The sequence below is a fragment of the Homo sapiens genome, chromosome 4, assembly GCF_000001405.40.
Source record: "Homo sapiens chromosome 4, GRCh38.p14 Primary Assembly".
Lineage (NCBI taxonomy): Eukaryota > Metazoa > Chordata > Mammalia > Primates > Hominidae > Homo > Homo sapiens.
The window spans coordinates 139,927,033-139,952,915 of NC_000004.12; the positions used below are offsets into that span (position 1 = coordinate 139,927,033).

The following is a 25,883-nucleotide window of genomic DNA, read 5'->3' on the forward strand; positions in this document are numbered from 1 at the left end:
CTTCAGTTTGTGTGTGTTTAATGAGTTTTTTTCTTTTTTCTTTTTTTTTTTTTTGTACTTTTTGTACTTTTCGTAGAGACAGGGTTTCACTGTGTCACCCAGGTTGGTCTCGAACTCCTGACTTCAAGTGATCCACCCACCTTGGCCTCCCAAAGTGCTGGGGTTACAGGCGTGAGCCACCATACCTGGCTTGTTTAATGGACTGGAATGAGGTTACGTATTTTTAGCAAGAATAGTATAAAAATGATGTTGTGTCCTTCTTCGTACATCATATAAAGGGGTTCATGATGTCAATATGTCTTATTATATGATATTTCACTTGATCACTTGCTTAGGGTGGTTTATGCTGGTTTTTTCACTGTAAAGTTACTTAATTTTTCCCTTGGTAGCAAATAAGCATTTTAAGTGAGATATGCTGAGACTACGCAAATTCCGTTTCTCCTCAAATCGTTGCCCACTAATTTTAGCACCAATCTGTGAATCTTGTCTATAACAGTTATTTCCCCAATGGTGGTTCTGTTTTCCACTTTCCTTTTATATGTATTCTTTGGAATTCTACTTAAGAAAGAGTTGTCCCTTCTCTCCTATGTATTCTTAAAATTATTTATTTATATAACTATGGACTTCTGGCTATTACGTTATTCTGTGGGTGAAAATCCAATGCTATCATTTTTTATCTTGCTGCTCAAATTCCTCTGTCTTTGGCCATGGGAACACATTTATGCGGACTCCTATGTCCTTTTGACAAGCCCATGTCTTTTTTCTGTGCCTTTCCTTATTTATTGGCACTTTAAGATGTTTCAGGTTTATTTTGTGTTTGCCCTGCCTGAACTCTGGAATCAACTGCTTGCTAGGGTGGCTTAGTTCCTTTTATTGGACAATGACATTTAGAAACAAGATACAGGTGCTGAGTGAGCTTATTGCTACTGGGCTGTTGCTTTTAGGCCTTATCAACAGACAGCGCTCAGTAATATACGTGTGTATGCTAACCCATTTATATACATACAGCTATATTTCTGCATCTGTCTATCTGTGTGTCTGTGTGTGTGTATATATGTACATTTAAAAACATGAGTTACTGCTAGCCTGATTCCAATCCAACATCACAGGGTTCATGCTGGCCTTCTCCTTTCTGTATCCATAACTGTTTCTCCATCAATGCGATACCTCTACTACCCTCCTTTAACTTAGAAGATAGTTACATTTCATAATAAGCTCTAAACTCATTCATGGATTGATTTGGAAATGGATTTATTCATTTAGAAAATATTAATTTGGCATGTACCACGCTGAAGGCCGTGGGCTCTGGAGTAGAACTCTGGGTGGATTACAAAGAAATCTTAGGCCCTGCCCTCAGGTAGTTTATGGGCTACAAGAAAACATATTAAAAGAATACAGAGAGTAAGGACTGTTTGGAGAAACAACTAAATTGCTCTGGGAGTGTAGAGGAAGGAGAAATGCACTCCCATTGAAAAAATAATGAAAGGCTTCATGGAGAAGCTGTGGATCTGTAAGGATGGGGAGGATATGGATCTGTAAAGATTAGGGGAAAGCACTCAAGGAAATGGGAATAGCTTGAGTAAAAGCACAAAAAGGAACAGAAGTAAGGCAAGGCATGTCAAGGAAACAGAAAAGCTGTGTGTCTGGGTGGGAAATGGGTCCTGTGAGGGAAGCACGTGGGGACAGCTGGGTCCCGGAGCTCCATGAACTGCTGGCTGCAGTGGAATGTGGCCTTGTCTGGTGGGCCGTTGAGAGCCCCTGCAAGTTTGTGAGTAGAGAAGTGACCTGTCAGGAGTGACACAGTGGAACTCAGAATGGAGGGGGATTTGGCGGACAGAGAAGATCTTTGGAGGAGATAAATATTTGGAAGCTACTGAAATAGTTTAGAATATCAGACAGGGTCTGAATTAGGGCAAGGGCAACAGCTGTGAAGAGGAAGGGAAGTATATGAGCATAATCAATTTTGACAACAAATTTGATAAGAGCAAGAAAAGAGTCAAAGGTAACTTCAGGATTTCAAAAGGAGATATTAAAAACCAAAGCTAGAAACTAGGAGATAAGCAAGACGGTGGGAAAGTGTTCAATAGCCCCCCAAATGCAGAGTTGAGATAGATCGCTTCCCTGTGACTATTTCAGTGCTCTGTTGTGAGTGGACAAAAAAGGAGGGAAAAATTAGACTTTATATCAAACAGTGCTGTTACTTTTTAGCAGCACTGGAAGTCTCTAGCAGAGGAGAAAACTACACTAAAAAGCAAAATGAAATTTCTAGATGGCAATGAAATTGAATTTATCTGTGGTTGCGGTTAGCCATTGGCATTGATAATCACCACACAGCGGTATTTTCTTTGAAGGTAGATAGTTAGCACTCTCTAAACTAGAAATTGCCCCCATTTTATCCATTATGACTCCGAGGCTTTTACAACAGAGCCATATAACTTCAGTCACCAGGGAGTTTTAGAACACTGAAGTTAGAATGGAACCATCACCGCTACTCTATTAATGTTGTATCACTATTCAGATGCAGTTTATTGCAGGGAACAGCTTAAACTCAAATATACTAGCATCTATACAATCATGACAACACTTATTAGTTGGTACATAACGTATGGGCAGAGGCTGTGCTTGCCGGAGACTATCTGTCTTTCAGGCTCAAGAAGCAATGGCGAGTCAGCTGCTGTCGTGCCACAGTCTCTGTTTATTATGTTCTTATTATCTTTCTTATTATGAAAGGAAAGAGCTAAATGTGTTCATGTGTTTGCAGGATGATAGACAACTTAACCATGTCATAGGGCAACAGGAAGGACAGAAGTGGAGGGAAAAAGAGCAAGCAACTTTTCTTCTATTCGATTGGGAAGGAGTTTGGAACTGCAGACCCGTCAGCTATAAGGAAGTCTGGTGTGAATGCCCAGCCTTGCCCCAGAGGGGAATGGGTCCTCACTGAGTACTCCTGCATCCACCTGCTTTCCCATCTCCCCGTTTGTACAGGTGAGTGACTTCAAGCCTTATTTTAGACAAAGTGTCTCTCCTGCCCCAAAGGCTCTCACAGAACAAAGCTGCTACAACGGTTCCTAAAACAGACACAATTCCCACAGAATTATAGATAATTTTCATTTCAGAAAAGAAGATAAAGACATTATTTAATTATCCTCTTTGGGATATGAAAGTACCACGTGGAAGATGGAGGCCAACTATTTCTTCTTCAGGAGAGTCAAAAGAACCACATTGAAGAAGAGGTTCACAACAGATGCTAAAAAATCTAAGGGTGCTCATGGCCTGAATACGTTTCCAGGCAGAGTTTGTGAGCAGAGTTCACAAAGGTGCGGATGAAGACCGTTCGCTGGGCTTCACTAGTACAAAGACAGGCTGACAGTGCAAAGACGAAGAGGAACGGTCCCAGCCATCAGGGAACTCAGCAGCTTGGAAGATACTAAACAGCCACTCCTCCAGGATGTAAGTTCCCTCATTACAAAGCTGCCATATTAAGAAACATCTTTATAAATTAAAGGAAGCAGGGTTGGCAGGATTGAAGGGTCAATGCAAGCACTGAAACACAGTAGCAAGGAATAGGTAGAGGCAGAAACTGTGACGTGGTAATCATCTTCTACCCACATGTGCTGTCCCCATACCTCCCATGACACACTCTCCCCTCAGTCACCACTTTCCCTGGTCTCTATGCTCTCAGGTACCCTCTTCGTAGTCCCTTTTTCTTATGTTTAAATGAGGAGTAACGTGACACTAGACATCTGTACTTATTTACTAGTTTCATGTTAGTATGTTGGTTACTTCAGTTCTTATGTTACCAACTGATTTCATGATTTTTTTTTTAAGCTTCTAGTTAGGAAATTGAAGGCTCCGTCATTGCTATAGGCATTTCAAGCTCGGCCAGTAGGCTCTGTATATTGACAGAGATGAGAAAGACTGCTATAGGTACATTTTTCGTTCTCTAAAAAAAAGGGGTAACAGATGTGGGGGAGAAGAATTAGAAGCAATGCAGAGTCTGTGTTTTCTTCTTTCTCCTAAGGTTATGGCTCGTGTCCCAAGTTGTTGGGAAGGAACCTCTGGTTGCAGCAGGACTGACTGTACAATTTGTGAGCCCAGTGTGAAATGAAAATGCAGGGCCCCTTGATCAAAAATTATAAAAAAATCTCAAGACAGCGCCAGCAGAGCATTAAAACAAGCCCCAAGTCCCAGGCGCCACACAGCCTCGCTCTTCTGCAGTTCAGCTCTTCCTTTTACGTTCCTCTTCTGGCTACCTCATTTATCCTTCCGTAAACCTTCACTGATGAGAGATGTGGTAACCCAAGCAAGTCTATCGTTCTTGCAACTAAAATGAACCAGCACACTTAGGACACGACAGGGTTCCTGCTGTCATTTCTTCCTCTTACCTTGTACCGTCTAAAAATTGCAGGGATGTATTAAAATGCTTTCTACTCCATGTTATTTTAGGTAATATTTAATTAGGTTTTTATGCTTTAATACGATGTCTGATGTTCTGGATCGTATCCTCTAATTTTTTCTACTATAATAAAGTTCCTGACACTAGTTTAGGATGGACTGCATCCTCTTCATCAGAAGCCTTTGTCTTCCTTCTGCCTAAACTTCTGCCCCAGGCTCAACAATCCTCCTGTGCAGTCTCCTTCCGTAATCTCCCCTTCTGCAGAATAAAAAGAACTTTGTAAAAGTACTTTAGAAATAAGCCTGGCTCGGTGGCTCACGCCTGTAATCCCACCACTTTGGGAGGCCCAGACGGGCGGGTCACCTGAGGTCAGGAGTTCAAGACCAGCCTGACGAACATGGTGAAACGCCGTCTCTACTAAAAAAAAAAAAAATACAAAAATTAGTTGGGCATGATGGCTGGCACCTGTAATCCCAGCTACTCGGGAGGCTGAGGGAGGAGAATTGCTTGAACCTGGGAGGCGGAGGTTGCAGTGAGCCGAGATGGTGCCACTGCACTCCAGCCTGGGCGATAAGAACAAAACTCTGTCTCAAAAAAAAAAGTACTTTAGAAATAATTTTTTGATTTGCTTACTACTTTGAATAGTATTTTTGCCTGCCTTTCTTTGCCCAAATTTTTGTAAGAAAAAACATCATGCAAATAAAAGGTACTCAATTCTTATTTTTCACAACAGGGACAGTAACTTTCTCCTCAGATTTTCATTGCTTACTTTTTACATTAGTTCCTCGATGGTTTATAAGCTTTTGTTTTTGTTATCTTGATTTTTTTTTTGATATCTTGGAATTTTTTTATGTCACCTAATTTGAACTAACTGGAATGGAAGGATGTAATCATGTGGGGAAAAACATAAAATACTTTCAAAGAAACTAAGTTTCATTGATCTCAAGATTATGCAGTACCTCAAACTAAGGTTAACAAAGTGTTGCTTCGTTAACAGGGACTTGGAGTCAGTTAAGTGCTTTAATAAGTAGATAAGGCTTATTTGCAATTAGCATATTGATTGTTTACATATAAATGAGTGCTTCCAAAGTGCTTGAGGGGAGCAGGAAAACAGCTTGTTAAGAGTTTTAAATGCCCCCCTTACAGATCATTTATCTCTATACTAATAGACACTATCTTTGAACCAAGTCTTTGCTAGTCCAAGGAGATATCAACCAAAAAGCTAAAATCACCACACATTTCAAATAAGTATAATTAATTAATGATCTTTATTTTGGGGAAAATGTTACCAAAAGTCCCTTCAGAGTGGGTTCACCTGATGGACAAACAATTGAAAAGACAATCAGATCCAGAACTAGTTTCACGCCAGCCATGGTGATCTCTCGTATCTCCATTTTAAGGAAAACGACCAAATTCCACAAGTTTTGTTCACAGCTGACTGAACCAGGTAGAAGGACCCAACCCAAGGAAAACCCGTGGTCTCTGTATGACACAGATTGGCTTGAAAAATGAGCTTGGTCTGTCAGCTTCTGACCCTCACAAGTTTATCTGGAAACACAGGGAAACATAGTTAGCCGTGGCAGCAGAACCTAAAAGCGACACAGCAGACAGACAGGCCAAGGGAGGGGTTGAGTCACATTCGAAAGCCAAGAAACTAAGAAATTCCTATGAGGAGACAGAGATGTGGAGAGAAAGAAAGAAAGAGAAAAGAAGGAAGCAAGGAAGGAAGGAGGGAAAGAGTGGGGAAGGAAGGAAGAAAAGAAAGGGACACACGCATAGCCACACATGTAAGACAGATGATAGATGGAACCTGTGCCCCTTGGAGGGAGTGGTTTGTCCCTATATTTTCCCTGGTTGGCTCTTCCTACTCAGGGCCCGCCCATGAGCATCCTTAGAGCCAACCTCTTTGTCCTTTGAGGTAAACTGGGGCGCTGTTGTTCCTTACTCTGTAACTTGCTGTCAAGAGACGAAAACACCCCAAACCATCTTCCAAATAGGAGCAAGGGGTGGGGACAGGGCAGGATGGGGAGACATCCAACACGTAATGCATTTTACACGGAAAAGCCTCCTTCTCATGCACGTGAATTTGCTTAAATATTTCCAAATTTTCACCAAGACAGCACCACAAAAAGGTCTTTTTCTGGGCTTCTCAAGGCCTACATCCTGGGAGTGAGTAAAGCTGGTGGGGCGGCTACGCTGTTTGGGCCTGATGCCAGCAACATGGTGGAGTCTGTCACACTCCTTTGATGTTCACAGTCAGGACAGCTTCTGCCTGCTAAATATTAATCCAATTTGGCCAATCAAACTTCAGGTGTAGTAAATGATTACAGTAACAGGCAGCTTGTAACCCAGAGAACCCTTCCGCTTCCTGAGGTCAGCCTGGGGCTTTGTTTGAAAACCAGGAGTAGCACAGCAGGGAAGAGGCGTCCCAAAGGAAGAGGGATGGGGTGGGGGTGTGTGTGAACGAGTGTGTGTCTGAGTGCATGGGATTATGAGTGTGACTGTTATATGTGAATATGTGTGAATGTGTATATCTGTGAGTGTATGTGATTATGAATGTGTGACTATATGTGAATGAGTATGTGAGTGTATATGAATGTGTGTGGGACTGTGTGACACTAAGTGTGTGAATTTGTGTGCCAATGTGTGAATATATGAATGTGTGAATGAGTGTGTGTCTATGTGTGTGAATACGTGTATGTGTGAATGTCATGTGTGAATGTGTTTATGAATATTTGTGAGTGCATGTCTGAGTGTGTGTGAATGTGTGTGTCTGTGTGTGATGTATGTATTTATGAATATGTGAATGTATAACTATGCATGTGTGAATGTGTGTAAGAGTGTGTGGGACTATGGGTGTGTGTGCGACTATGGGTGTGTGTGCGTGTGAGTGAACATGAATGTGCATATTTGTGAGTGTTGAGGAGGGAGGGAAAAGGAGAAAAATAAAAGGGAAATAAGAGGGTGTGTGAAAATGTGGCAATTCTCTTCTCAACTGGAAATACAGATTAACATGTGCAAAAAACAACCCTGACCCGAGTTTTCAGCTGTGCATGCGGCGGTGATGTCACTCTCCATTAATCAGGAAGCAGATGCTCCTGGCTGCCTTCTCTCCATCACCCCCTCAGAAAGAGGGTGAGGGCGTCCACGGGGCTCTTCGGCTTTCTTATTTCTACCCCCATCGAAAGGCAAATATGAACCATGTGGCTGTCTCCACCCCTGACTTTAAAAGCATGTGTAGTTAAGGGACTTCAGCTTTTCCTAAAGAGTATTCCTCAAGGGAGTAAGGAAAAAACCAAACTCAACCACTAAAGTGTTCTTCCCTAAATGTCAAAGAAATCTGGTGGGTTGCTGATGTTGTTTTTCTAAACCTCTTTGCCCTAACAACACTTTGTAACATACATGGAGTGCAAGATTCTCTTTTTGCAGAGAGAAAATAAACCCTAAGGCATAGAGTAATTTTCTGCTTGTTGAATCTTGTGCCTGGTTTGTTTCAACAAAGCCAGGTTTCCTTAGCATCACCTGGCCTAATCTACAGAACAGGCACTTCCATGAGAGTGTAACCATGTTTAGCAAAAGGTATCAGTTTGCCAGCTACTTAATGTCTTGGGCAACGTACGGCTGCCAATATCCACTCAATTAGAAGGTATTAATCATGCATTTTACTGCTCTCCCCCTACTGCCTATCACCCCCCTTCCTCAGCAAGGCACAGAACACAGCCGACTTCTCATGTAATTCAGCCTTCCAGGCAGATGCAGTTACATGGCAACCATCAAGACACCTCTTTTTTTTTTTTTTTTCGGACTGATATTCTATTAATCCTTACAAGTTTATTAGTTCTGACTCATAACAATCCATCAGCCATAAGTGCAATAAATGATGCTTGGAAATTAATACCCACGTTTCAGCAGAGAAGGTTTTATATATTGAATTATCTTTAAAGTTATAAATAAATAACATACGTGAAATAGATTTAAGCAATAAAAATATATTCTGCAAACAATACCCAGTAAGCTTAATATTCACCAAGCTGAAGTTACTTGGGCAGTATCTTAATAAGCCCTCAACTCCCTGCCCTCCTTCTCTTCCCTGGTAAAATCATAAATCCATCACATCAAATATTGGGGTTCTTTCTTGGAGGAAAAATAGGGCTTCCTTTATCTAACACTTATTCTCAGTGTTTCAAGTGTTTCAGCTTTCCTAGGGTTTTTTTGTTTTTTTTTTTTGGTTTGGTTTTTGCTTGTTGTGGGGTTTTAGTTTTTAAATTTTTCATAATTTATTTTTGTGCTTTCTGCTAATTTTTTCCAGCTTCTTTAAAGCATAATTGGCATATAAAAATTGTATACATTTAAGGTGCACAACATGATGTTTTGATATATGTATACATGGCAAAATAATTATCACAAGCTAATTAACATATCCATCACCTCACATAGTTACCATTTATTTTCTATGTGTTGAGAACTATTAATGTCTACTCTCTCAGCAATTTCAAGTATACAATACAGTATTACTGACTGTAGTTACCATATTGTACATTATATCCCTGGAACTTATCTATCCAGCATAACTGAAACTTTGTACCCTTCGACCAACATCTCCTCATTTTCCCCGCCTCCCAGCCTCAGATAACCATCATTCTACTCTATCGGAGTTAGATTCCACATATAAATGATATCATGCAGTATCTGTCTTTCTCTGCTTGGCTTATTACATTTAGCATAATGTCCTCCTGCTTCCCCCATGTTGTCACAAATTGCAGGATTTCCTTCTCTTTAGAGGTTGAATAATATTCCATTGTTTATATGTGTGTATAAACACACAGCCACATACACACACCACATTTTTAAATTCATTCATCAGTCGATGGATACTTAAGCTGATTTCATATCTTGGCTATTGTGAATAATGCTGCAGTTAACACAGGAGTGCAAACATCTTTTTGACATACACATTTCCTTTAGATACATATCCGGAAGCAAAGTGGGATTGCTGGATCACATGGTAGTTCTCTTTTTAATGTTTTGAGGGACCTCTATACTGTTCTTCATAATAGCTGTACCAATTTACATGCTCACCAATATTGTTCTAAAATAATTCAGAAATTTTCTGAGATATCTTCTTTTTTGTGTGTGCACACACTTGTAGTTCCACCTACTTGGAAGGCCGAGGCAGGAGGATCACTTGAGGCCAGGAGTTCAAGGCTGCAATGTGCTATGATCATACCTGTGAATAGCCATTGCACTCCAGCCTGGGTAACATGGTGAGACCCTGTCTCTAAAAAACAACAAAAGTTGAAAAAAATACCTGAGATATCTTTGTTTGCCCTTACCTCCTCCTCTTTATCTTTTCCCCCAACTCCTCAACAAAGCCACTTAAATAGCGTTTAAAAAGTGACCCCCCTGAAAGAAAGTCCTATTTAAATCGTGGCTTCAGTAGAGCTTTTCAAGAACCAAGGCCATTAGAAATTCATCTTGCTCAAGGGAGGCAAGAGGCTGAATTCAGGAGCCAGGAGTTTATTTTGCTATATAATGAAAACAAGGGAGAGTCAAGTTTCTACCCAGTGTCAAACAACTCTATCACATTCCCATCAAAATAAGTCAGAAAACATCTGCTAATTTTTACTTTTGTTTTTCAAAAAAGAGAGGGCTCATAGTGCTATTTGCTAACCTGTCTTTCTTGCTAGCCAAATTTTCTAAAAGATACACTCAAATTAAAAGTTTTATAGTGATACTTTTCTTTCAGTAATGAATTAAATCTGTATAATTTTATTGAATGTTGCCCCTCATGGAAATGTGATTATTGCATTGTTGTTACCTATAATGAAATCCTTTACTCTTAACCTCTTTCATAGATTCAATGCACAACAACAAAACACCACAAGATTTCATATTATTGATGACATAAAGTGAATTAAGAGTTAGTGGCAAAAGTCTGGTCTAGACAATGATCTAGCAAAGGAGTTTTTTTTTTTTTTGAGATGGAGTCTTGCTCTGTCACCCAGGATAGTGTGGTGGTGCAATCTCAGCTCACTGCAACCTCCGCCTCCCAGGTTCAAGGGATTCTCTTGCCTCAGACTCCCGAGTAGCTGGGATTACAGGCATCTACCACCACACTTGGCTAATTTTTGTATTTTTTGGTAGAGATGGGGTTTTACCATGTTGGCTAGGCTGGTCTTGAACTCCTGGCCTCGAGTGATCTGCCCGCCTCAGCCTCCCAAAGTGCTGGGAATACAGGTATGAGCCACTGCGCCTGGCCAGCAAAGGGTATTTATTACTTACCCTCAGAGGCAACAAATGCAGAAACTCCACTTTTGGCTGTCCCTTCTCTAGTTCTGGTGGCCCTTCTCTAATGTGTCTCTTCTTCTTAGGCTTGTCTGCACACAGATGTGCTTTCTGCTTATGAATTTAGGAGAACTACATCCATAAATTACATCACACCTTTCCTGCCTACATGCAATTTTCCTAGACTTCAAAATTTTACAAACCAGAGAGATCAAGATGCACAGGCTTCCACTCGATGTCCCTTGCTGTATTCTGAGGCTAAAAAGACTAACACTGATTTAGTGGCTGTCTGCAAGGTAAAAGCATTGCTTTGATCCATATACCCAGTGCTCCTACTTTCCCTGCCTCCCATGCCAGTGTGTATATATTTACATCCCTACTAAGTCTGGGCACCAAGGGCTATGAGTGGCCCCCAAGGCAGAAAGATTTTAAAATATAAGCAATGACATATTCTGAAATTACAATAGCAAACATTTTGAACTGCTCTCAGTTCTTGGGTAGATGATCAATACTAAGGACTGGGAGAAAGGAAACAGCAATGCTAAGCCCTGGGCCTCAAGCGCACAGAGTATCCTACAAGTCGGGGAGACCCTACCGACCATCTAGCCTGACTCCATCCGTTTACAGAAAAGGACACTAAGATCCAGAGTCATGAAGTGATTGGCTCAAGGTCACAAAGCCAGTATGAGGCAGGCTAAGGCCAGAACCTGGGCCTACTATCAGTTAGTAAGGCTTTTTACACTCATTCAAGCCACCTCTAGATCAGACAATCAGAAAACACAATGACATTCTAATACCCATACGATGTCAGCACATAACATATCATAATAGTGCCTGGGTGATGAGATCTGATAGGCTTGTGGGAGTAGAGTGATGGTGGTTATGAAAGAGGATGAACTCTTTTAATAGCCTGCTGCATTCTGAAAAAATGGCACACCTTCATTTTGCCTCAAGGGTTACATAATGGATCAAGATAAAACTCTAAATTTAAAAAAATGGATAATTCAAGTCAATGGAGGCCACTTTTTCCCTGATAAAGGTGTTTTAAAGATATGGATATTATATGTATTGTAATTAAAATAACGAGACTAATTTTTATGTTCAACGAACAGTACGCATAGTGCCTACCCAGTGCACAATCACCTTTGAATATACACAAACCCAATTAATGCAACGTGTGGTAATCTATAGTCTTTCCCAGATGCAATTCTGCTAATAACTTTTTATAACTCTTAATGCATATATGTCTAAAGACAGCTCAGTGACCAGTCATCCTTCCCCGCTCTGCGCACTGTGAAGACTGGCTTTTCATTTAAGTCTGCGGTCTACAAACAGCTTTATTTCTTTCCTTTCGGGAACACATGATACCTCTATTTGAGAAGACCTATAGCTGTTATCACTGACTCTGCAGTTCTTCATTCTCTACATCTCATCTGAGGCTACCTCTTTAATGATTGTATGTGCTTCTTCCTTTCACACTGCGACAGACCTTGAGGTTCCCATACCTCTTGTATAAATTATTATTGCAAAAACCTTTTAATTATTCTCACTTCTCCTCATTCTTGACAGAGGCATCAGAATTATCATTCTAGAGTCCAACTCTAGATGTCATTAAGTTGCTCAGAAATCTTCCATGGCTCCCCATGGCTAATAGAGTCTAAAAGTCTCTGGTTTACTGCCTGAGGCCCAATCTTCTGGGCACTCCTTGGATTCCCACCATGTCTCTTTCTGCCTACTGATCTCAGTGTCTAGAATGCCCTTTTCGCCCATTCTCATCCCCCACCTCCCCTGGTCAGCTCTCTCTATTCTCCAAATCCAAGCTCAAAACCCTATTCTCAACAAGGGGGTCTTTGCTGTTAAAATTTAATCTCTTGTCTCCTGTCCTTCCATAGCACCTTGTTAATATCTCCAATGATAGCTCCCAATACATTGTTATTTGTGACTTTTTTCCATTCAACTATACATTCCGTGAGGGCCGGGATACCTCCTCTGTCTCTGAACAAGGCATAGTACAGTGTTTTGTGCACAGTAGGTTCTCAACAGGCACTTGCTTTTTTTTTTTTTTTTTTGAGATGGAGTCTCGCACTATCATCCAGGCTGGAGTGCAGTGGCGCGATCTCGGCTCACTGCAACCTCCGCCTCCTCGATTCAAGCGATTCTCCTGCCTCAGGCTCCTGAATAGCTGGGATTACAGGCGCCCGCCACCACACCCAGCTAATTTTTTGTATTTTTAGTAGAGACGGTGTTTCACCATGTTGGCCAGGCTGGTCTCGAACTCCTGACCTTGTGATTCGTCCACCTCGGCCTCCCAAAGTGCTGTGATTACAGGAATGAGCCACCGCGTCCAGCCCAATAGACACTTGTTGAAACCAGTTTTGTACCTCTACATGCCAAATAATTTGTCAGTGCCCTAATTTTCCAGCTGCCATAGCTCTTTCACATTGTTTCAAATTGTTTTTTAGGTGTATCCTTACAGTCTTCCTTTCTTCTCCTCTCCACTACCCTCACCACCAATACTGCTTTGTGGTTGCTTCAGTTAACTCACTAGGAACAGTATTTATATTTATTATACACTTGTATTGGGGAAGCTTGTTTTCTCTACGTGTATCCTACCCAATCTATGTCATATCTGCACACTATGTAAAGATTTAATAGGGCACCTAAAGATTGATTGGAATCTGAACTCACTTCCTGGTTATGTGACTTTCAACAAGGTGTTTAATTGCTTTGAGTCTTGGTTTCCTCTCCAGTAGAAAGGGATAATAATTCCTCAATTCTGTTATGACTACTTTGGCAATAATATGAGAAAGTCAGCTGGCACAGAGAAGGCATTCAATAAACAGTATGTGGTACCTTTTAGACCAGGCCAAAGAAAGCTGAGAAAGGAAGCAAGTTGTTCCCAAAATCTGTGTTAGCTGCTTCACGAATGAGCCCCGATACTCATGTTCAAAACCAGACCCCTTTCTTGGGACCCCACTTGGCTTCTCCATAGCACACTGAATTCCTGAATAATTTGATGTGGATGCCATTACTTATCCCTCTTCACATACACAACATGATGCAATAACTGGCACATACCACCCTTCACTCTAAGAGCAGACTGCAACTCACACTGCATTTTTCCATGTCCCAGCACATGGAGACATAATACCAGGGAATTGCTGTTGATTAAGATTCACTTGTGTAACTTAGGAGTTGGTTCAATTTTCAGACTTTGTTATTAATGATATTGTCCTATAATCTATGTTAAATATAGATCACAAGTGATGCTGATGAATGGGTTGGATCTCTCATTTGTGTTCGTTCAATTTACAATCATAAATTAAAATGTTCAAATGTTCTTCACCCTACAATGTAGATTTGGTCTAGGGTTTCAATATGATGAGTTAGTACTGTTAGTTTTCATAAAAACATGCTGCTTTTTAAAACTTGTTTTCTCTTTTTAGATTTAGCTGTACATTATTGGCAACACATACTGCCCAGATTATGGAATTTGGTAATAAATTATGTTTTTACTATCTTTGAAAATTCTTTTCAGGGTGGAAGACTTTCTAGCCTTAGTTATATGTGTTTAATCTTGGTTTTCTTACGGTATTATGCAAATTCTGCAAAATGATCCATGGACTCATCCACTGATGTGTATCAATGTAAGTTTCTGAAACAAAGTCATCAACATGCAGAGACAGGTTAATGCTTTAGTTACATAGCTTTCAAGAGTACTTATGTTTATTAAGAAGTTGTCTTCCTAAGGGTCATGTTGTAGCCTAATTCTGGTACGCAAAACTAGGATACCAAGTTAATAACCCTAATGTGTTGTTGTTGTTGTTGTTGGTGGTGGTGGTGGTGGTGGTGGTATTGGTAGTGGATTTTTTCAGGGTTGGGGGAGAATTCTGGGGACAGTAAGAATGATAGTAATGACTAGACATCAACTAAAATGTACATGTATGTGTGCAAGCATATGTTGAGTACATGTGTGTGTTTAGGGGGTTGATACATGCTAAACCTTGTTAGGAGCAAGACAGTGATGATCAGCTTTGCGCCCGATGGTCTAATATGCTCTTATATTTCAGCAGGATTACACATAACTGAAGGAATTACACAATCTTCTCTTACTTCACATTAGAAACCTTTAATACCAAGCCGGTCACGATGGCTCACACCTATAATCCCAACCTTTTGGGAGGCTGAGGTGGATGGATCACCAGAGGTCAGGAGTTCAAGACCAGCCTGGGCAACATGGTGAAACCCCGTCCCTACTAAAAATAAAAAACATTAGCTGGGCATGGTGGCAGGCGCCTGTGATCCCAGCTACTCCAGAGGCTGAGGCAGGAGAGTCACTTGAACCGGGAGGCGGAGGTTGCAGTGAGCAAAGATCGTGCCACTATACTCCAGCCTAGGCAATAAGAGCAAAACTCCATCAAAAAGAAAGAAAGAAGGAAGGACGGAGGGAGGGAGGGAAGGCAGGCAGGCAGGCAGGCAGGCAGGCAGGCAGGCAGGAAGGAAGACATCCTTTAATACCAGAACAAAGAGCCATAATATCAAGAAGAACACAACCCAGAAGATTTTATTACATTAATAGCCCAGCTAAGAGATTTAGGAGTCCATGCCCACTTACAGCGTCATGTCATTAAGGCTGATGAACACAGGGTAGACAGACGCCTTGCTATTTTCTATCCTATGCCCTGCTACAAACATGTGGCCTGGAACCACTTTGTGATTACTGCAGTAAGTTCTCTGTGATTAATGTGGACATAACACTGTCCAGAGGAACTGGAGCAGACACATCTTATCTGAGAGCCACTGCCCTATGACATGGCCATGAGGTCACTCGGCCCCCTTTGTTTTAGGCTGTATATTACTTAAATCAGTCATCAGAAAGATGATTTAAATCAACCTTCAAGAAGATATAATTTCATTACTTTTTTTTTTTTTGCCAAACTATGTCCCTATTGTCTATACTCCTAATATTAATTATAACCAACTCAGATTTATAGTTTTTCTATGATTAGGTATATTTCTTATGTGTAAACTATATAGAAACACATGTTGGAACAGTTACATTAGAAAACTGAATCGTGATTTGGTCCTTTTATTCCCCAAAGCTAAATAAAGCAGATATCTGTGAAATCACACAGAGACAAACCATTTTCAGGTTGACAGGTTAATTTGGGCAACATTTTCTGCTCTGTTCTATTAGAACAGCTATCATAACTCAAAACAACTGATATTACATTTTTGCAGGATAAAATGTTTATAGAGATATATTTGTATTTTGAATGTTTTTGTTCAACAAAAGCCATATAATTTTAAACAAAAATGTACGATCAAAATTTATTTCATTTATATATGTGAAATGGGGGTGCTGACAAAAATTTAAAGAATGTTTCACCTAAAATAAAAAGATTCCTCCAAAATAAAAAACTTAAAATATAGGATTGTTTTGAATAGCGCCTCCCCCTTCTAATCATTTCAGTTTGAAGAAGAGAATGCTGCTTCTCTTACAGAAGAGATGAAGTTCATAATCCTTACAGCATACAGATGTAAAACAAGATATTGGTGAAGACAGCCACGATTGACAGGAAAAGAACAAAGAGGGCCCACAGTTGTTGGTGCCTGGAGACAGACTTGAGAGGGGTCACAAGTGGCCAGAGGCTGGAAAAATAAAATGTCTACGATTTGAAAATAGAGAAAAGAAGTAGAGAAGAAACAAACAGAGTACTAGAGAAGAATAAGAAGCCCATGTAATTGGAGCCATAGGGTGGGAGGTGGGTTATGGGGGATGGGCACACATGAGGTTGGTTTAGGCTTAAGAAGATAAGCTTACTGCAGCATTCCTGGAATTCTAGAGAATGGCCAGCTCTGGATCCAAGTGATTGCATTCATAATCATGTTTGGCTAAAATGCAAATAGAAAGAACCAGGATGAAGAGTTTGCTTCTTAACCTGGATGTGTATCAACTTGAATTCAATGCCTACACTGAATGTACATGGATTTACCTGTTTGGAATATGTACAATGGAGATCCTCTTGCAGTAGCAGATTTTGTATGCTAAATACCACCTTTCTGATAACACGATCTGTTGATTATCCACTATAAAACATCTGGAATACAATATGGTAACTTAAGGTTGGGTTGTGGGCCTAAAGACAACTTTTTTTTTTTTTTTTTTTTTTTTGAGACGGAATCTTGTTCTGTCGCCCAGGCTGGAGTGCAGCGGTGCAATCTCAGCTCACTGCAACCTCCGCCTCCCGGGTTCAAGCGATTCTCCTGCCTCAGCCTCCCAGGTAGCTGGGACTACAGGCGTGCGCCACCACACCCGACTAATATTTTGTAATTTTAGTAGAGAGGGGATTTCACCATGTTCGCTGGGATGGTCTCGATCTGCTGACCTAGTGATCCACCTGCCTCGGCCTCCCAAAGTGCTGGGATTATAGGCATAAGCCACCGTGCCCGGCCTAAAGACAACATTTTTTTTTTTATTATACTTTAAGTTTTAAGGTACATGTGCACATTGTGCAGGTTAGTTACATATGTATACATGTGCCATGCTGGTGCGCTGCACCCACTAACTCGTCATCTAGCATTAGGTATATCTCCCAATGCTATCCCTCCCCCTTCCCCCCATCCCACCACAGTCCCCAGAGTGTGATATTCCCCTTCCTGTGTCCATGTGATCTCATTGTTCAATTCCCACCTATGAGTGAGAATATGCAGTGTTTGGTTTTTTGTTCTTGCGATAGTTTACTGAGAATGATGATTTCCAATTTCATCCATGTCCCTACAAAGGACATGAACTCATCATTTTTTATGGCTGCATAGTATTCCATGGTGTATATGTGCCACATTTTCTTAATCCAGAATCTACAATGAACTCAAACAAATTTACAAGAAAAAAACAAACAACCCCATCAAAAAGTGGGCAAAGGACATGAACAGACACTTCTCAAAAGAAGACATTTATGCAGCCAAAAAACACATGAAAAAATGCTCATCATCACTGGCCATCAGAGAAATGCAAATCAAAACCACAATGAGATACCATCTCACACCAGTTAGAATGGCAATCATTAAAAAGTCAGGAAACAACAGGTGCTGGAGAGGATGTGGAGAAATAGGAACACTTTTACACTGTTGGTGGGACTGTAAACTAGTTCAACCATTGTGGAAGTCAGTGTGGCGATTCCTCAGGGATCTAGAACTGGAAATACCATTTGACCCAGCCATCCCATTACTGGGTATATACCCAAATGACTATAAATCATGCTGCTATAAAGACACATGCACACGTATGTTTATTGCGGCATTATTCACAATAGCAAAGAGTTGGAACCAACCCAAATGTCCAACAATGAAAGACAACATTTTAAAAAGGAAAATTCCACCCCCTAACCCTCCAAGGCAGTTTCCAGGAAGTTCTGATATAAGGTCTGTTGACTCTCCCAGCCTTCCTTTTCTCCTTATTTACTTGGGCTATTAAGTAAAAATGAGCTTCTCTTCTTTTTTAAATAATAGGTTCTCAATTAAGACTGAATTATTCCAAAGCAAACAACTCTTCCTATTTCTGCAGATTCTTTGAATTATCATTTTATGTGCTTCTGATGAATTCAGATGTTTAAATGACTTCCAGCAACACACTGATATGACTGTCTAAAACTTTAAGAAACATTTTTTATTTTTATTTTTTTAAAAAAGATTTATCCTTATACCTGGAAGTTTCATATTTGGTATTAGGGAATGATTACTGCTGGATGCCAATACCTCTTTTCAAATAGCCAAACATTTATACTTAATATGAAAACCAAACCACAGACAAGCTGCCAGCATATTCCACAACACTGTATTCTTTCAGCTATAAAGTCAAAGGTTTAATTGCATGAAAATATTCAAATATTAATAAATCATGTTAACTTTAAACTAGGTTCACAAACTTTGTTTCACTGATTTTAAGCAGCCTGATATAGGATAGATATTTAATAAATTTGTCCAATGTGTATTTTTCCCATGAATAATAAAACCAAATTAAAATTTTATTTAAATTGTTGAAATGCTTAATTCCTCCAGATCATGATTTTGCCAATGCAGTTTCATCTACCTTTCCTTGTACATCATACGAAGGCATTTATTCAGGCAGTGGTTTTTAATAAGCCATTGTAGGAAACAAACAAAAAAAGGTGGAAGGTGTTGCCTGGGAACTAATAGCTGTAATAAGGAGCCAGTGGATTGCTCCTTAATAAGTGTATGCACTGCACACCTTCTCAGTCCTGATTAACTACATTCTATTTTAGCACCAGACATCTAATGAGAAAATGTTAAGTTTCCCCAAATGGTATGATGGTAGAATCAGAATGGAAAATACCAACAAACCTTGTGAACGCTATCGCCCCAAAATGTGAGCTTGTAAAAGAATTCATCTTAGTTCCACCTTGATTTCTTTTGCATTAATCATTCAAGATATGTAACATTGGAAAACTTACTGTGTGCAAGGTGTGATGAAATCTTATATTCAGAAGCTAAAGATAAAGATAATATATGCATCAGTTTCATAATAGCCGTTTTTGAAGGTGAGATGAAGTTTATTAATTATTTCCACAAACCATCTAGGGTGATTCTCTCAGATTCAGGGAATGTGGGCTTGAGCAAATTTTCATGGTTGATATGAAGGACTTACAGCTAGAACCAAATACTGTTCAGTCTGTATAACGAGCCTGACAATGTGAATAATCTCAGTGCAATAATTTTTTTTTTGTTAAGCACACAGGTATGTACAAACGCACAAAGGTAACTCCTGAATAGTCAATAAATAACTATACCAAACGTATAACTGCTAATTATGGGAATAATATAATGAATAATTACAGATTTTTTTCTAAATGCAAGTTTTCATGCCAGAAAAAAATTTTATCTCCAGAAGAATAATTTGTGCATTGCTTAAACAAAAATCAAAGTGAAATCCTTCCAAACAGCCCAGGTGACATCCTTGGTTTTATTCATGTAAATAATGATTATAAAATATAAAAGCTAAAACAGCTGAATAAAACATCCTTCCTGGCCTCAGGGAGGTCATCAGTTCATTGAGGGTCAAGAAATACTACACTTCTAAAACTACCTTATATCAACCCTTGATGTTTCAAAAGGAAAACAAAAATAGCACCCAAATTTCTCCAGGCAGAGTAAGCCACACACACACACACACACACACACACACACACACACTCTCTCTCTCTCTCTCTCTCTCTCTCTTTAGAAAAGCAAAGTTTGCAACATGCTATAATTAAGCTCACATCCTGACAGTAAAAACACAAAGTTTTATTCTAAATATAGAGGAAGAATCTCCACATTGCACAACCTTTCCAATTGTTGTTTTTTAACATTAGTCATTGATGTCAGTGTGTCCTTTGCATAAAAAAGTCCCTTTCTGAAAATACACATACAGTAGACATGAAAATTGTACTGCTTTCAATTTTTATTTAGGGTGGAGATTTTCTTAAAATCTTCGGTAGATTTTATCCTTGCCTTGTCCTTCCTGTAAGTCTAAATCACTATTTAAATGGCATTTTCCTTCTTGCTCTTAAAATAGCGAAGTGGTATTTGCTAAATGGACATGGATAGCTATTCACAGCCCAATTCCTAAGTCTTAGTCTTCTACACAGGCTGCCCTGATCGCCTCCAGAGATGAAACTTGTCCATGGAAGAGAAGCTATACACACATCTCTGCCACCAGGAACCTGGGAAAGTCTGGTTTCATGTAACACTAACAATGCTGCTACAAAAATTACAATTTTCTAGCATGGTGGATTGGACTCTGTCCTATTTATTAAAAGAACTGTAGACCTGAGGGCAGCTCAATCCACACCTTGCAAAGCACCCACATGTCCCTAGCAGAAAGGAGGGCTGATTTTAATTTATGGGGCTTAATTAACCTTTTAATTTAGGGGTTAGTGGTAAAGTGTATCTAGAATCTAGCTACCTGCTGTGATCCTGGAGCAAGTTAATCTCTCTATGCCTCAGTTTCGACAGCAGGATTCCGTCTCAAAAATCAAAACAAAACAAAACAATAACTAGTATTATTCTCAATTAGGATTTCTAGAACACTAAAAGCTACCACTTGCTGGGCATGGTGACTCACTCCTGTAATCCCAGCACTTTGGGATGCTGGGGTGGGCGGATCACCTGAGGTTGGGAGTTTGAGACCAGCCTGACCAACATGGAGAAACCCCGTCTCTACTAAAAATACAAAATTAGCCAGGTGTGGGGGCGCATGCCTGTAATCTCAGCTACTCGGGAGGCTGAGGCAGGAGAATCGCTTGAACCTGGGAGGGTAGGTTGCAGTGGGCCAAGATCACGCCATTGCACGCCAGTCTGGGCAACAAGAGCGAGACTCCATCTCAAAATAAATAAATAAATAAATAAATAAATAAATAAATAATAAAAACTACCACTCTACACTAAAAAGTCAAACGTGGAAATATACAAAACAAAAGTCTATGTGGAAAAACCCAACAATTTACAAAGGTAAATTAGATTTACAGGAAGCAAACACACTCCTGAGCACTTTTGCTTTATCCAAATACTTCATTTCACTGTTAAGAACAGTTGATGGGCCTTTAGGGAAAATATTTCAGCTTTCAAATAACTGCTTTGAAAAGGACTAAAAACTATATTTAACTGCCTCTTGGGCAATTAGACCATGGCCATTGCCACATCTGCTATTTTCTCATCAGGAAACTGCTTCCAAGACATTTAACATTCATAGGTGTATTAGCTCATTATTAATACTCTGGAAATTCTCCATGACACTATTAACTACAGTGCAGAATTTGATGTAAGGAGGCTCCATCTTGGTTTCAATTCATGTAAGAGGATTATGAACCGAATTCCCTAAAGGATGACACTAGAAATGGTCTCAAACATGGACTGAATTATAGCAAAGCTCCAAAGTGTAATCTATTTCTAAAAACTTGTCTTCAATCATCTCAACCCTTTTCTCATACTTTATCTCTATCTCTTCATATTATCCATCAGTAATTGTTAAAATAGCAAACACTTACATGACACTATGTATGGACACGTATATTAATACAATTAAACCTCACAAGATCCCTGTAAGGTAGAAACTATCATCCCCATTGTACGTGTGAGAAAACCGAGGCACAGGTAAGAGAGGTAATACACTAGTAGTGCCAGAGTTGGGATGTGAACACAGGCAGTCTCACTCCAGGGGTAAGCTCTTCCCTATGGCCATGCAGCCTCTACGCCTTATTGACATGCTTCTAAAATACAAAAGTGGTAGTAGAAATTTTTTTTTTCTTTTTTTGTTTTTTGAGACAGAGTCTTGCTCTGTTGCCAGGCTGGAGTGCAGTGGCGCGATCTCGGCTCACTGCAACCTCCGCCTCCTGGGTTCAAGAAATTCCCCTGCCTCAGCCTCCCTAGTAGCTGGGACTACAGGCACGCGGCACGACACCCAGCTAATTTTTTTGTATTTTCCTAGAGATGGGGTTTCACCATGTTGTCCAGGATGGTCTTGGTATCTTGACCTCGTGATCCGCCTGCCTTGGCCTCCCAAAGTGCTGGGATTACAGGCGTGAGCCACCACACCCGGCCAGTAGTAGAAATTAATTAGTCTCAGACTCTTATCATAAGATAGAAGCGGTATCAGGAATTGAACTCCCACTCTTTCAGTGCTCTGTGATAGCCCATGTACTATTCTTCTGACACCAAGATAAAAAAGACTATTTCCAATGAATGCCCATTAGATCAGAGATTATGCCACGTACAATCTGTCACAAAAAACCAGGAAGCATGTCACTGAAACAGTCTGGCTTGTAACATAACTTTTATTCTAAAGAAATACCCATCATTTGATACTATGGAAATCTGAATATTATGTTGTACTTTTAATTTACAAACACAAATTTAATTGACATGAAATTTATCAAGATATGAAACCTAAAAATATCAATGTTGTCTTAAATTCCTTTTGACAAGATTGTTAACTGCTTGACATTTTCATGCCTTTACTTTCCTTGAATTCCTCATGTGATGGTTCATTTTAGTTGTTAACTTGACTGGGCTATGATGTCCAGTTGTTTGGTCAAATACCAATATAGATGTTGCTAGGAAGGCTAGTTTTAGATGTGATTAACGTTGAAATTAGTAGACTCTGGGTAAAGCAGATTACTCTCTATAATGTAGGTGGGCCTCATCCAGTGAGTTGAACACCTGAAGAGCAAAGACAGGTTTCCCAAAGAAGCAGCATTCTGCCTTCGGACTGCAACACAGAAAACCTGCCTATGCTTCCAGCCTGCAGATTTTGGACTCAAGACTGCAATATTAACGATTTTTTTTTGGAGACAGTCTTGATCTGTTGCCCAGGCTGGAGTGCAGTGGTGTGATCTCAGCTCACTGCAACCTCCGCCTCCCAGGTTCAAGCAATTCTCCTGCCTCAGCTTCCTGAGTAGCTGGGATTACAGATGCACACCACCATGCCCGGCTAATTTTTTGTATTTTTAGTAGAGACGGGGTTTCACCATGCTGGCCAGGCTGGTCTCAAACTCCTGACCTCGTGATCTGCCTGCCTTGGTCTCCCAAAGTGCTGGGATTACAGGCATGAGCCACCATGCCTGGCCAATATTAACTCTTAACTTGAATTTCTAGCCTGGTAGTCTGGTCTACAGATTTTGGACTTGCCAGCCCCCACAGTCAAATAAGCCAGTTCTTTAAAATGAATTCTCTCTTTATCCTCTATTTGTTCTGTCTCTAGAGGACTCTGATTAATACAACCAGCACCTCCCTCCTATCACCTTTTTCACAGGAGACCCTCAGTAGAGAGTCCTGTAGATCAAGCCTCCATCCTGATTGCCCATTGTAGTTCTTATAAGAAAAGATAAAGTTGGCCACTTTCCATTACAGCACACAAACTAGCAACCTTTCTGGAACTGGGTAACACATTCTCCCGGGTTTGACTGTGGTAGATTCTAAACCACACGCCTTCTGTGAATAGTTGTGGTTTGACAAGCTACAAAGACATACAGCCTGGTCTGTGTAAGTCCCCAAGTAGGGGCCCCAGAGACTTGCGGCCACCCTGCTAAGAGTCCTCCAGCCAAGCTCTGCCCAAGGGAACAGCACCACCCACACCATCAAAGCTTTGCCTGCAGCTCTGGGCCAGCCTGAAGGGCTTGAAGAGGCCATCGGGTTACTAAATGGCATTTTGGTCACCTTTTCTTTCCTCCCAAGATCGTGAAGAACAACCTCATTGCCCTAATGACTCCCAACTTCTGTCTGCACGTGGGTTTGATTGTTACAATCACATTTTGCTTACTGCCAATCTCCCATTTCAGCTGTTCAAATTCTAGGAAACCAATATTTATTTCCTTAACAAAAGATCTCAACAAGCCAAGCCTCCTTCTCTCTCTCCCTCCCTCTTTCTTTCTCCCCATCCTACCCAAACCACAAAGCCCTGTTCTTTGTAAAGGGCCTGTGCTGGGAGCTAGAAATGTGTCACACCAAGAACATCCACCATTGCCCAAAGCTGTTTTCCTTGTGGCTTCTTCAGTAGCAGCCACGCTGCCTTCAGTGTTGACAGTCAGCAATTTTGAATGTGCTGACATGGAGAACAGTGACCACAGAGTCAATGCACACCAGCAAGGAAGAGAAAACAAATGCGGAAATGGAAAGGTGATGCTGGGCCTCTGTCTTTCCCTGCTTCTGGAGGCCCACCAGTGAGGTCACAGGTTGGCCTGTGGAGGCCTGGAGGGCAGGGAGCACAGGCAGCCTCACCTCTTTCTGCTGTTTCCCTGCCATCACAACTTGGTCCCCGCATTTCTATTTTGGGGGCTGACGCATGCAGAGCTGTGGAGGAGGGAGCCATTCCCTCTACCACCTTAGGTCCCTCTCCTTGCAGCTGGCTCCTACCAAGAGGAGAGAGGAAAGGGTCAGCTGTGGCTTCTCGGCAGCTCTGTGAACTGCTCTCTCCAACACTGAACTCAACAAATGTTCTTTACATTGCTAATTTGTTTTTGTTCTTTTTTTTTTTTTGTCTCCAGTAGCAGGAAAGTTTGGTAAGCAAAAAAAGATCCCAGAAAATTTCTGGGTAGCAAGTCTAGTATTAAGGGGGGCCAAGGGGTGAAGAAGGATGGAGCCATTAAATTAAAGCTTACGAAGGGCTATTAGGCTGCGTGCAGTGGCTCACACCTGTAATCCTAACACTTTGGGAGGCTGAAGCGGGCAGATCACTTGAGGTCAGGAGTTTGAGACCAGCCTGGCCGCCATGGTGAAACCCTGTCTCTACTAAAAATACAAAAAATTAGCCGTGTGTAGCGGCGGGTGCCTGTGATCCCAGCTACTTCAGAGGCTGAGGCAGGAGAATCGCTTGAACCCAGGAGGCAGAGGCTGCAGTGAGCCGAGATCGTGCCATTGCACTCCAGCCTAAGGGACAAAAGCGAAACTCCATCTCAAAAGACAAACAAACAAAAAGAAGGGCCATTATAATATCACTATAATGCTTTATAGGCAGACTGTGAGTTGGGGATTCTGGAATCCCTCTTTTCTTGGCTCTATCTGGGTTAGATAATAGGGAAGTTATTTAGTTCGAGGTGGTTCAATGTATGAAGTGATCAGGTAGGCAGGGGGTCTCTCTGTCCAGAGATATGCAGTGGGGCAGTTCTGGGACCTGGGGTTACACATGAGCAGGGACAAAAGCTGAACTTAATGTTTGGCCTCCTGCGTAAAATAGTGCTTCTCAAACTCTGCAGTTTATAGACCACACCTGGGGTGTAAAAATCCCTACCAACCTCGGACTGTCCTCACATGTGCCAAGAGGAAAACAAAATCCCATCCACTGCAGTTAAAAAAAAACAAAACCAAGTACATTTGGGGGGAATAAAAATTGCAGCAGAAATGGCTAGTGGCCCACCAAAGATGTCTGCACCCTTTCAGCTGTGTAAATTTGATGCTGGTGAGTGGCTGCCCAGCCAAGGACTGCATTTCCCACCTCCTCTTGCTCTAGAAGGGGATATATGACTTAGTTCTTGACAAAAGACTGTGGACAGAAATGATGTGTGCCATTTCTAGGCTTGGCCCATAAAAACCTGGCTTGGCACATTAAAGTCAGGACTCCCCCAAATCCCCTAGGCTATCTCTTTTCTCACCAACCAGCTGGAAGCAAAAGATTCCAAGATCCGTGGAGGAGCTACAAGGTGGAAGG

General features: G+C 40.9%; 1 protein-coding gene and 1 long non-coding RNA gene across 4 annotated transcripts in view; one reads left to right on the top strand and one right to left on the bottom strand.

Moving 5' to 3' along the window:
• MAML3 (mastermind like transcriptional coactivator 3) overlaps positions 1–25,883 on the bottom strand; it is a 437,432-nt gene that overhangs the window by 210,280 nt on the left and 201,269 nt on the right. The gene's annotated exons all lie outside the window — the stretch shown is intronic.
• LOC105377452 (uncharacterized) lies at positions 32–4,684 on the top strand. Its single transcript, XR_007058279.1, has 4 exons — positions 32–2,985; positions 3,117–3,450; positions 3,829–3,927; positions 4,022–4,684. It is a non-coding gene; the product is annotated as an uncharacterized LOC105377452 (long non-coding RNA).